This window comes from Homo sapiens, chromosome 3 (genome assembly GCF_000001405.40).
Source record: "Homo sapiens chromosome 3, GRCh38.p14 Primary Assembly".
Taxonomy (NCBI): Eukaryota; Metazoa; Chordata; class Mammalia; order Primates; family Hominidae; genus Homo; species Homo sapiens.
The window spans coordinates 14,070,120-14,083,178 of NC_000003.12; the positions used below are offsets into that span (position 1 = coordinate 14,070,120).

At 40.0% G+C, this 13,059-nt stretch overlaps 1 annotated feature.

Annotated features, from left to right (window-relative positions):
- Positions 12,156-12,205: an enhancer, noted in NCBI's record as "active region_19495". NCBI's record gives its function as "activates an Ori minimal core promoter by ATAC-STARR-seq in GM12878 lymphoblastoid cells {active_cell/tissue: GM12878}" and the evidence as "EXISTENCE:reporter gene assay evidence [ECO:0000049][PMID:35858748]".

The window sequence follows — 13,059 nt, forward strand, 5'->3', positions numbered from 1 at the left end:
AATAGGAACAGCTCCAGTCTACAGCTCCCAGCGTGAGCGACACAGAAGACGGGTGATTTCTGCATTTCCAACTGAGGTACTGGGTTCATCTCACTGGGGAGTGTTGGACAGTGGGTGCAGGACAGTGGGTGCAGTGCACCGAGCATGAGCCAAAGCACGGCGAGGCATCGCCTCACCCAGGAAGCACAAGGGGTCAGGGAATTCCCTTTCCTAGTCAAAGAAAGGTGTGACAGATGGCACCTGGAAAATCGGGTCACTCTCACCCTAATACTGTGCTTTTCCAACAGTCTTAGCAAATACCACACCAGGAGATTATATCCCATGCCTGGCTCGGAGGGTCCTACGCCCACGGAGCCTCACTCATTGCTAGCACAGCAGTCTGAGATCAAACTGCAAGGCGGCAGCAAGGCTGGGGGAGGGGTGCCCGCCATTGCTGAGGCTTGAGTAGGTAAACAAAGCAGCCGGAAAGCTCAAACTGGGTGGAGCCCACCACAGCTCAAGGAGGCCTGCCTGCCTCTGTAGACTCCACCTCTGGGATCAGGGCATAGCCAAACAAAATGCAGCAGAATCCTCTGCAGACTTAAATGTCCCTGTCTGACAGCTTTGAAGAGAGTAGTGGTTCTCCCAGCATGCAGCTGCAGATCTGAGAACAGACAGACTGCCTCCTCAAGTGGGTCCCTGACCCCCAAGTAGCCTAACTGGGAGGCACCCCCCAGTAGGGGCAGATGGACATCTCACATGGCTGGATACTCCTCTGAGACAAAACTTCCAGAGGAACGATCAGGCAGCAACATTTGCTGTTCACCAATATTCGCTATTCTGCAGCCTCTGCTGCTGATACCCAGGCAAACAGGGTCTGGAGTGGACCTCCAGCAAACTCCAACAGACCTGCAGCTGAGGGTCCTGACTGTTAGAAGGAAAACTAACAAACAGAAAGGACATCCACACCAAAACCCCATCTGTACGTCACCATTGTCAAAGACCAAAGGTAGATAAAACCACAAGGATGGGGAAAAAACGGAGCAGAAAAACTGGAAACTCTAAAAATCAGAGCGCCTCTCCTCCTCCAAAGGAATGCAGCTCCTCACCACCAATGGGACAAAGCTGGATGGAGAATGACTTTGACGAGTTGAGAGAAGAAGGCTTCAGACAAACTACTCCGAGCTAAAGGAGGAAGTTCAAACCCATGGCAAAGAAGTTAAAAACCTTGAAAAAAATTAGACGAATGGCTAATTAGAATAACCAATGCAGAGAAGTTCTTAAAGGACCTGATGGAGCTGAAAACCAAGGCACGAGAACTACGTGACGAATGCACAAGCCTCAGTAGCCAATTTGATCAACTGGAAGAAAGGATATCAGTGATTGAAGATCAAATGAATGAAATGAAGTGAGAAGAGAAGTTTAGAGAAAAAAGAATAAAAAGAAATGAACAAAGCCTCCAAGAAATATGGGACTATGTGAAAAGACCAAATCTACGTCTGATTGGTGTACCTGAAAGTGACGGGGAAAATGGAACCAAGTTGGAAAACACTCTGCAGGATGTTATCTAGGAGAACTTCCCCAATCTAGTAAGGCAGGCCAACATTCAAATTCAGGAAATACAGAGAATGCCACAAAGATACTCCTCGAGAAGAGCAACTCTAAGATACATAATTGTCAGATTCACCAAAGTTGAAATGAAGGAAAAAATGTTAAGGGCAGCCAGAGAGAAAGGTCGGGTTACCCACAAAGGGAAGCCCATCAGACTAACAGCTGATCTCTCAGCAGAAACTCTACAAGCCAGAAGAGAGTGGGGGCCAATATTCAACATTCTTAAAGAAAATAATTTTCAACCCAGAGTTTCATATCCAGCCAAACTAAGCTTCATAAGTGAAGGAGAAATAAAATCCTTTACAGACAAGCAAATGCTGAGAGATTTTGTCACCACCAGGCCTGCCCTAAAAGAACTCCTGAAGGAAGCACTAAACATGGAAAGGAACAACCAGTACCAGCCACTGCAAAAACATGCCAAATTGTAAAGACCATCGAGGCTAGGAAGAAACTGCATCAACTAACGAGCAAAATAACCAGCTGTCATCATAATGACAGGATCAAATTCACACATAACAATATTAACCTTAAATGTAAATGGGCTAAATGCTCCAATTAAAAGACACAGACTGGCAAATTGGAGAAAAAGTCAAGACCCAGCAGTGTGCTGTATTCAGGAAACCCATCTCATGAGCAGAGACACACATAGGCTCAAAATAAAGGGAAGGAGGAAGATCTACCAAGCAAATGGAAAACAAAAAAAGGCAGGGGTTGCAATCCTAGTCTCTGATAAAACAGACTTTAAACCAACAAAGATCAAAAGAGACAAAGAAGGCCATTACATAATGGTAAAGGGATCAATTCAACAAGAAGAGCTAACTATCCTAAATATATATGCACCCAATACAGGAGCACCCAGATTCATAAAGCAAGTCCTTAGAGACCTACAAAGACACTTAGACTCCCACACAATAATAATGGGAGACTTTAACACCCCACTATCAACATTAGACAGATCAAACAGACTGAAAGTTAACAAGGATATCCAGGAATTGAACTCAGCTCTGCACCAAGCGGACCTAATAGACATCTACAGAACTCTCCACCCCAAATCAACAGAATATACATTCTTTTCAGCACCACACCACACCTATTCCAAAACTGACCACATAGTTGGAAGTAAAGCACTCCTCAGCAAATGTAAAAGAAAGAAATTATAACAAACTGTCTCTCAGACCACAGTGCAATCAAACTAGAACTCAGGATTAAGAAACTCACTCAAAACCACTCAACTACATGGAAACTGAACAACCTGCTCCTGAATGACTACTGGGTACATAAGGAAATGAAGGCAAAAATAAAGATGTTCTTTGAAACCAATGAGAACAAAGACACAACATACCAGAATCTCTGGGACACATTCAAAGCAGTGTGTAGAGGGAAATTTATAGCACTAAATGCCCACAAGAGAAAGCAGGAAAGATCTAAAATTGACACACTGACTTCACAATTAAAAGAACTAGAGAAGCAAGAGCAAACACATTCAAAAGCTAGCAGATGGCAAGAAATAACTAAGATCAGAGCAGAATTGAAGGAAATAGAGACAAAGAAACCCTTCAAAAAATCAATGAATCCAGGAGCTGGTTTTTTGAAAGGATCAACAAAATTGGTAGACCACTAGCAAGACTAATAAAGAAGAAAAGAGAGAAGAATCAAATAGATGCAATAAAAAATGATAAAGGGGATATCACCGCCGATCCCACAGAAATACAAACTACCATCAGAGAATACTATAAACACCTCTACGCAAATAAACTAGAAAATCTAGAAGAAATGGATAAATTCCTCAACACATACACCCTCCCAAGACTAAACCAGGAAGAAGTTGAATCTCTGAATAGACCAATAACAGGCTCTGAAATTGAGGCAATAATTAATAGCTTACCAACCAAAAAAAGTCCAGGACCAGATGGATTCACAGCCAAATTCTACCAGATGTACAAGGAGGAGCTGGTACCATTCCTTCTGAAACTATTCCAATCAATAGAAAAAGAGGGAATCCTCCCTAACTCATTTTATGAGGCTAGCATCATCCTGATACCAAAGCCTGGCAGAGACAACAAAAAAAGAGAATTTCAGACCAATATCCCTGATGAACATCGATGCAAAAATCCTCAATATCATACTGGCAAACCGAATCCAGCAGCACATCAAAAAGCCTATCCACCATGATCAAGTGGGCTTCATCCCTGGGATGCAAGGCTGGTTCAACATATGCAAATCAATACACGTAATCCATCATATAAACAGAACCAACGACAAAAACCACATGATTATCTCAACAGATGCAGAAAAGGCCTTTGACAAAATTCAACAACGCTTCATGCTAAAAACTCAATAAATTAGGTATTGATGGGACGTATCTCAAAATAATAAGAGCTATCTATGACAAACCCACAGCCAATATCATACTGAATGGGCAAAAACTGGAAGCATTCCCTTTGAAAACTGGCACAAGACAGGGATGCCCTCTCTCACCACTCCTATTCAACATAGTGTTGGAAGTTCTGGCCAGGGCAATCAGGCAGGAGAAGGAAATAAAGGGTATTCAATTAGGAAAAGAGGAAGTCAAATTGTTCCTGTTTGCAGATGACATGACTGTATATCTAGAAAACCCCATGGCCTCAGCCCAAAATCTCCTTAAGCTGATAGGCAACTTCAGCAAAGTCTCAGGATACAAAATCAATGTGCAAAAATCACAAGCATTCTTATACACCAATAACAGACAAACGGAGAGCCAAATCATGAGTGAACTCCCATTCACAATTGCTTCAAAGAGAATAAAATACCTAGGAATCCAACTTACAAGGGACATGAAGGACCTCTTCAAGGAGAACTACAAACCACTGCTCAATGAAATAAAAGAGGACACAAACAAATGGAAGAACATTCCATGCTCATGGGTAGGAAGAATCAATATCGTGAAAATGGCCATACTGCCCAAGGTAATTTATAGATTCAATGCCATCCCCATCAAGCTACCAATGACTTTCTTCACAGAATTGGAAAAAACTACTTTAAAGTTCATATGGAACGAAAAAAGAGCCCACATTGCCAAGTCAATCCTAAGGCAAAAGAACAAAGTGGGAGGCGTCACGCTACCTGACTTCAAACTATACTACAAGCCTACAGTAACCAAAACAGCATGGTACTGGTACCAAAACAGAGATATAGACCAATGGAACAGAACAGAGCCCTCAGAAATAATGCCGCATATCTACGACCATCTGATCTTTGACAAACCTGACAAAAACAAGAAATTGGGAAACGATTCCCTATTTAGTAAATGGTGCTGGGAAAACTGGCTAGCCATATGTAGAAAGCTGAAACTGGATCCCTTCCTTACACCTTATACAAAAATTAATTCAAGATGGATTAAAGACTTAAATGTTAGACCTAAAACCATAAAAACCCTAGAGGAAAACCTAGGCAATACCATTCAGGACATAGGCATGGGCAAGGACTTCATGTCTAAAACACCAAAAGCAATGGCAACAAAAGCCAAAGTTGACAAATGGGATCTAATTAAACTAAACAGCTTCTGCACAGCAAAAGAAACTACCATGAGAGTGAATAGGCAACCTACAGAATGGGAGAAAATTTTTGCATTCTACTCATCTAACAAAGGGCTAATATCCAGAATCTACAATGAACTCAAACAAATTTACAAGAAAAAAACAAACAACCCTATCAAAAAGTGGGCGAAGGATATGAACAGACACTTCTCGAAAGAAGACATTTATGCAGCCAACAGACACACGAAAAAATGCTCATCATCACTGACCATCAGAGAAATGCAAATCAAAACCACAATGAGATGCCATTTCACACCAGTTAGAATGGTGATCATTAAAAAGTCAGGAAACAACAGGTGCTGGAGAGGATGTGGAGAAATAGGAACATTTTACACTGTTGGTGGGACTGTAAACTAGTTCAGCCATGGTGGAAGTTAGTGTGGCGATTCCTCAGGGATCTAGAACTAGAAATACCATTTGACCCAGCCATCCCATTACTGGGTATATACCCAAAGGATTATAAATCACGATGCTATAAAGACACATGCACACATATGTTTATTGCAGCACTATTCACAATAGCAAAGACTTGGAACCAAGCCAAATGTCCAACAATGATAGACTGGATTAAGAAAATGTGGCACATATACACCATGGAATACTATGCAGCCATAAAAAATGATGAGTTCATGTCCTTTGTAGGGACATGGATGAAACTGGAAACCATCATTCTCAGCAAACTATCGCAAGGACAAAAAACCAAACACCACATGTTCTCACTCATAGGTGGGAATTGAACAATGAGAACACATGGACACAGGAAGGGGAACATCACACACCGGGTCCTGTTGTGAGATGGGGGGAGCGGGGAAGGATGGCATTAGGAGATATACCTAATGTTAAATGACGAGTTAATGGGTGCAGCACACCAACATGGCACATATATACATATGTAACAAACCTGCATGTTGTGCACATGTACCCTAAAACTTAAAGTATAATAAAAAATGGTAAAAAAAAAAATGGATATTACAAAATAGAATCTTAGGTTATCATAGTTCATTCATTTAGCCAAAATAACTCAAAAATTTTTTAAAGGAAAAAACATTAGTCTGATAGAGAGGAGACTCAGCTTTCCAAACAAGACCCAATGAAGATAGCATGAGGCCAGCTGACTCTGTCTCCTTCCTTTCCTTTCCCCCGCTATTTCTTTTGTAGTTTATTTAAAAGGTAAACAAAAACCTTTCATTATCTTTTAATATTACATAAAAATCCTTTTTAAAAGAGAAAACCAAATTTTATGTTTCCATTTGCATATTTTTAATGTTAAAGCTAGCTTTTAATATTTTATAAATCTATTGTTTTAATTAGTTTGACCATAAGGTAAGATTTTTATAAACATTTTGTAACCCTTTACAGAGTTTTTCTCAGAGCAGAACAATGTTCTAAGAAAACTCTGTTGTGATTTTATTCCAATGTCCAATTTATGGAAAAAACTCAGTAATGCCATTTTAACTTTAGCCAATATGTTTACGCATAGAATCTCTTACAATTAATTTTTTCTTTTCTTTTTTTTTTTTTTTTTTTGAGATGGAGTCTTGCTCTGTCACCAGGCTGGAGTGCAGTGGCGTGATCTCGGCTCACTGCAACCTCTGCCTCCCGGGTTCAAGCAATTCTCCTGCCTCAGCCTCCCGAGTAGCTGGGACTACAGGCACACGCCACCACATCCGGCTAATTTTTTTGTATTTTTAGTAGAGACAGGATTTTACCATGTTGGCCAGGATGGTCTCAATCTCCTGACCTCCTGATCCACCTGCCTTGGCCTCCCAAAGTGCTGGGATTACAGGTGTGAGCCACCGTGCCTGGCCTCTTACAATTAATTTTTATAAACCTTCCACAACTTATTCAAACCTTCCATAACTTATTCAAACTTATTTAATTTAAAACAATCCTTTAACCCTCTAACCTAGGCAAAAATTTACATTACCATACTTTCTTATAATCTCTTACAAAAAAACATTTCATTCTCCTTACACACCTTGCATGTAAACCTATTTTTTCAGTAGTCTCAATTACATATTACAATGTTAACTCTTACGACTTTTACTTTTGGTGAGAAAACCTTGGTAAGTAAGGGATTTTAATTATGTACTAGGTGTGGAGCCTAGGACCCAGACAGAAATGCAGATAAGGTCTGACTCTTTCCAGCCTCTAACTCCCCTTGTCCCTGGCCTTACCTAGCTATAAAGCAGGCAGGCTGTACATTTGAGTCATAGTGGCCTTTTATGAATCATTTAGGAGGCTTAATCACCTTTGAATTGTACAGCATTTCTGGCATAAATTCCTGTTCACAAATTCTTTCATGACTTACACAGACCATGTATGTCATGTTTAGACTTTCTGACTTGACCTAAACATCCCTCTTTTTAAATAACCTGTCATTTTACCTTAGGACAAGAATTTACCATACAACATCCTTTCTTAGGTAAAATCTCTTTTCTTTATAACCTTCTTTGCATAGTTAGGGGGCATGGCTAATTCCATATATCCCCAGGCCTTATTTAAAATGTAATGTCTCAAAAATAAATTGAACAATTTTTAAAAGTCAAAGCAGTTTATGACCTTAAAGCATTTAGCAAACCTAATATCTGACCTGCATAATTTAGGTAAAATGTCTTTATTTTATCAATAATCTTTAGAGCTGTTTTTATTTCCCAAAGATTACTAAAGTTACATGAACTAAAAGGCATTATAGTTTTTATTTTGCTTTCAAAATATTTGATTTAAGCACTTATTTTTGTTTAAGCCAATTAATTAGAACTCTTTTATATAAACATTACACACAACACATATAATTAGACAGACAGAAGAAGAGTACTACAGAAGTTGTAAGATTTTTCATTTACCAGTTTTTAAGTTTCTTAACTGGTTAATGGCTTTATGGTGGAGTCCTTGGAAGAACAGGGCCAGGAAATGGGTCTCTGGTGCCTCCTGTTTTTCCCAAGGAGTCCAGGCTGTTAGAGCTTGAATGTCTACTTTTAGTTAAGCTTTCTTTTAACTGTAGCATTCTTTAATAAAGTCCTTTTAAAATTTCTTATTACCCAATTTCAGCCAGGCCAAATGGCTGATATTTCTGGCTTTTGAACTTTACCAAAGGTAACCTCCCAGGTGGTGCTCAGAGAAAGAAAAATGTAAGTTAGTCCATGGAGAAGAGGCTTACAAGGTCATGCGGATATTAAACCAGAAAGGACCTGCTTCTAAGTAGGAAATTGAACGTGGACTGCCAGCATGAAAGGGCAAAGCCTAAGTTACTGAGCTACAGCACAGGGCGGTCTTCACTGTACTTCTTAGAAGGAGTCTAGAGTAGTTAATTTTGAGCTTGCAAAGGCTTTTAACTACTCAAGATAATTTTTAGAGCTAACTATGACATAAACCCTAAAATCCCCATTCCCTGGAAGGCGGAGACCAAGAGAAAGTTCCTCAACCTGGTTACAAGGTCAAGCTCCCAAGGACATAAAACAAGATGAGACCCCATCCAGTTTTTTTGTTTGTTTCAGGGACCTGCAGGAAAGTTTGTTATTGACCAGCTTGTTGAGCTGTCTTGAGCAGCAAGCTTATGGAGTCCTAAGCCCATATTTTATCCTAAGGTACCCCTTGACACAGAAAAACAAATTCATAGCACAAATACATCAGTTTAAGACTAGCCTCAGAATTATTTTTCGCATTAATCAAAACTATACAGAAGAGAAATATAGTGATTTTTACCATTTCTGTAAGATTTTGCCATTTCTGTAAGACTTCACAACCGTTTGCCAGAGAGAGAGAGAGAAGCCAGAAGTCTGACTGGTAAGAAATTCTTACCCTTTTGCCAGCATGCCAGGCTTCTGGGTTCCTTTTCCCTGAGCAGCCCCAGTGATCCAGCTTGCACCATCATGCTGGGGGCCAAGTAGCATCATAAAGGAAATTTACCTTTTTTCATCTGGCTAGAACAAAATATGTGTGACAAAACATAGACATTAGCCCCTCTGCTGAGCACCCAATATCAAACTGGCAAGGCTCAAACTTGCCCTTGGTTGGGCCCCATCATGGTTAATGCAACCTCTGACCAGGAATTTCAACACGTGGTCTCTGGGCAAGATGGTCACCCTGAATAATAGAAAAGATAAGAAAGGCAAAGGAGAGAGAGAACAGCATTGCCTGTGGCAGGGTGGGGAAGGCAAAATGATCAGAGAGACCAGAGAAAGACCCACCTATTGCAGCAACACTGAAAAGTTCAGGTGGCTGCTTCTTGGTAGCAAAGGGATCTTTTCCAGCAGTCCCATCAGCTCTCGTTTCCCCTTTTGAAGGAGGAAAAAACTCCCCATGTCGAACCCCTCTGTATGTGCCTAATTTTGTCACCCATAGTCATCAGCAAAGAGTGCAAGGCAGATTATTCCAAAGAGAAGAGCAGTTGGCATCCCGTAGTGCCAAATCCATACTTAGCCAAAAGGTACTTTACCAAGAGCCCTCATTTTTAAATGTACTTCAATGTATTGTTCATTCCGAACGTTCCACTGTAAGTTATCTTAAGATTTTGCCATTTCTGTAAAACTTCATTGCTTCCCAGGCCTAATGTATAAGCCAGAAGGAACACAGTTTACCAGAAATTAAGGATACAATTTTTACCAAAAATATTGGCTTTACTGTCAGGTTCTCCTGATTAACTTAGCCAATGATTTTTTTCCTACCTAAGCCCACCAGAAAAATGAAACAAACGGGTAGAACACAAAAATCCCAGTGAATTTTCAAAAGCCAAATTTTATAACCCCTGCAATGTATCTGGTTACTACCAGTTCCTTTTTGACTCAGTAAGAGGCCTCTAACTGGATCCAAGCCAGTTAATTCCCAGGTCAAATCTGTTTCTGAACCCAGTCCAGTTTCTGTCACAACTCCAAACCCAGTTTGGATCAGAAATTTGCTCAAAGAAACTCGGCTCAAAACACAAATCCAGGGAGCTCTGAAATCTGAGAGGGAGCTTACCCACGATCCCCAGCTGCTCTGAGAGATCAATGGACACAAGTGGGTCTTGCAGCTACCTTGTGTGTTCATTCAGTGCTCCTGGGAGTTGCTGGAACCTCCGCTTCAGATCCCACTTCTGACACCACCTGATAAAAGAAAATCTTCAGCCGAATTAAATTTAAAGGAGTTTAGTTGAGCAATGAACAGTTCATGAATCGGGCAGCCCCCAGAATCACAGCAGATTCAGAGAGACTCCAGGGATGCCTCGTGGTCAGAACAAATTTATAGACAAAAAAGGACAGGAATGCGAAGTGAGGTACAGAAACAGCTAGATTGGTTACAGCTCAGAGTTTGCCTTATTTGAACACAGTTTGAACATTTAGCAGTTTATGTTGAAGTACGGCCGTTGGGATTGGCCAGCACTCTGCTATTGTTACAAGTGCATACTATTAAGTTAGGTTTTCAATTTTGTCTGACTATTAAGCTAGGTTACTGTTCATCCATAAGGACTCAAATGTAGAAGTACGGAGTCCTTCTCAGGCCATATTTAGTTTGCTTTAACAATCTGTAAAAGTCACTATAATAACAAACCCTACTTCAGGTAGTTACAATGATTTAAGGAGTTAATATTTTTAAAGAGCTTTGAATAGCACTTGGCACATAGTACATGCTAAAGTATTTGTTAAAGAAATAAACATAGGCTGGGCAAGGTGGCTCACGCCTGTAATCCCAACAATTTGGAAGGTCAAGGTGGGAGGATCACATGAGCCTAGGAATTCGAGAGCAGCCTGGGCAACATAGACCTCAGCAATACAAGAAATAAAAATATTAACCAGGCATGGTGGTGCATGCCTGAAGTCTCAGCTACTTGGGAGGCTGAGGTGGGAGGATTGCTTGAACCCAGGTGATCCAGGCTGCAGTGAGGTATGATCACACCATGGCACTCCAGCCTGGGCAACAGAGCAAAACCGTATCAATCAATTGATTCTTATGTGGCAATTTATAAGTAAATTGACATAAATCTGCATGTATTTATATGGCATGTACATCTTCTTATCAATGCTATTTTTTATTGTTACTTTTACATTCTAAGGTTCTGGAAGGTATGAACCCCACTTACTTTTCCAAGGCAGATATGTAATAGTATTTCAGTATATAAAAGTAATCCATAATTGGTTGTGATGAGTGTTGTGGTGAATAAAATACTTAAAGACCCCTGAATTAAAAACTTAAATTCATCCAAATCTGAAATAAATTGAACTCTATAATCTGAAATGTAAGGAAATGAAAATAATAATAAAATATAACTGTATTTGAATTATAATCCAAAACATTTTTATTTTTCTCATCATGATCACTGTATTTTTTATACATGTTTTTAATGAATTTGTAATCAGAACCTAACTAGCAGTGGAGTAACATGTCCTTTTCTTTTGCAGCTATAGAAAGAACTCAACAAAGAAATCTTGAAGAATGACTTTTAGCAGCAACAATAGAAGACAAAACAACAGAACTCACAGCTCTGGTAAAACAAACAAAAAAAACCCCAAAAACAAAAAGCATTATTTCTTTATATTTCAGGGAAATTTTACTTCATGTTAAATTTATAGTTTAGTTGAATTGTGGGACCAAAAAACTCCGGAAATCATATAATAGAACAAAAGTTCTTAAATATCTTAACACACATACACATACCCACACACACACACACACAGACTTAGTATGGTAATAGTTGAAGCAGGACATGTTTTAAATGGTGATTTTTTTCTGAATTTCTGATTTACACCTGCCCCAGTCCCCTAAAAACCTGATGGATAAGAATCCGAATTTTCATGTTAAATAGTTAACATAAGGATAACTTAATTTTTTTTTAGATTAAGCCAATTGAAAATTGAGACATAATATATAGGACCCTATAAAGGAATTAAGTTTTTCTAGCTTTGATCAGCGGGAATTTCTGAGAGGAATGCTATACTTTCAGAAGATAACATGCAAAGAAGGGACAGAATTTTGGAACATTTATACCACATTAGACTCAAAGCTTTACCCACTGTTTTTCCCTTTAGAAGACCTACCTTTCAGTTTCTATTCCTGCACGGTCTCATTAAACATGAAACTCTAAATTTGTTCTGAATTCATGACTAAAGCACTACCATTTGCTTTGAAGTTATTTCAGCTCATTCGAAAAGGCCTCTTTGGGTAAATTGTTGTGAAATCGTAATGTCTGGGGTGAGTAGGATGGCAGTGGCACAGTGCATGGTGCATGCTGTCAAGGGAGTGTGGCACCTGGACACAGGCCTGAGATGTATCTCAGATCATCTGAGAACAAGCAATGAGAGTGGCAGGATTGGCTGGTTTAGTGAGCAAGAAAGCACTAACAGCCACGATGCCTAGGAGCCTGGCTGTTCTTCAGGCTCTACTGATAGATGCACCTTCCCATGGATTACGGGAGAAAGTCTATCTTTGATATATAATTCTGCATTGCATTTCTTTCTTTCTTTTTTTTTTTTTCTTTTTTGAGACAAAGTCTCTCTCTGCTACCTAGGCTGGAATGCAGTGGTGTGATCTCTGCCACTGCAACATTCGCCTCCCGGGTTCAAGTGATTCTCATGCCTTAGCCTCTCAAGTAACTGGGACTACAGGTACGTGCCACCACGCCCAGCTAATTTTTGTATTTTTAGTATAGATGGGGTTTCTCCATGTTGGCCAGGCTGGTCTCAAACTCCTCAAGCAACACTTCCACCTCCGCCTTCCAAAGTGCTGGGATTACAGGCATGGGCCACCACGCCTGTCCACATTTCTTTAACTGTTAGCTCAACAGGCTCAATCCTCCTGATGTTAACGGTTTGGATCAGTTGGGAAACACATCCTTGCTTTGTGCAGCTTACCAGCCCATAAACAATGTGCCTTAGAATTTCTAAAAAGTGGAGCAGACCCTAATCTGAAGAACATGCTG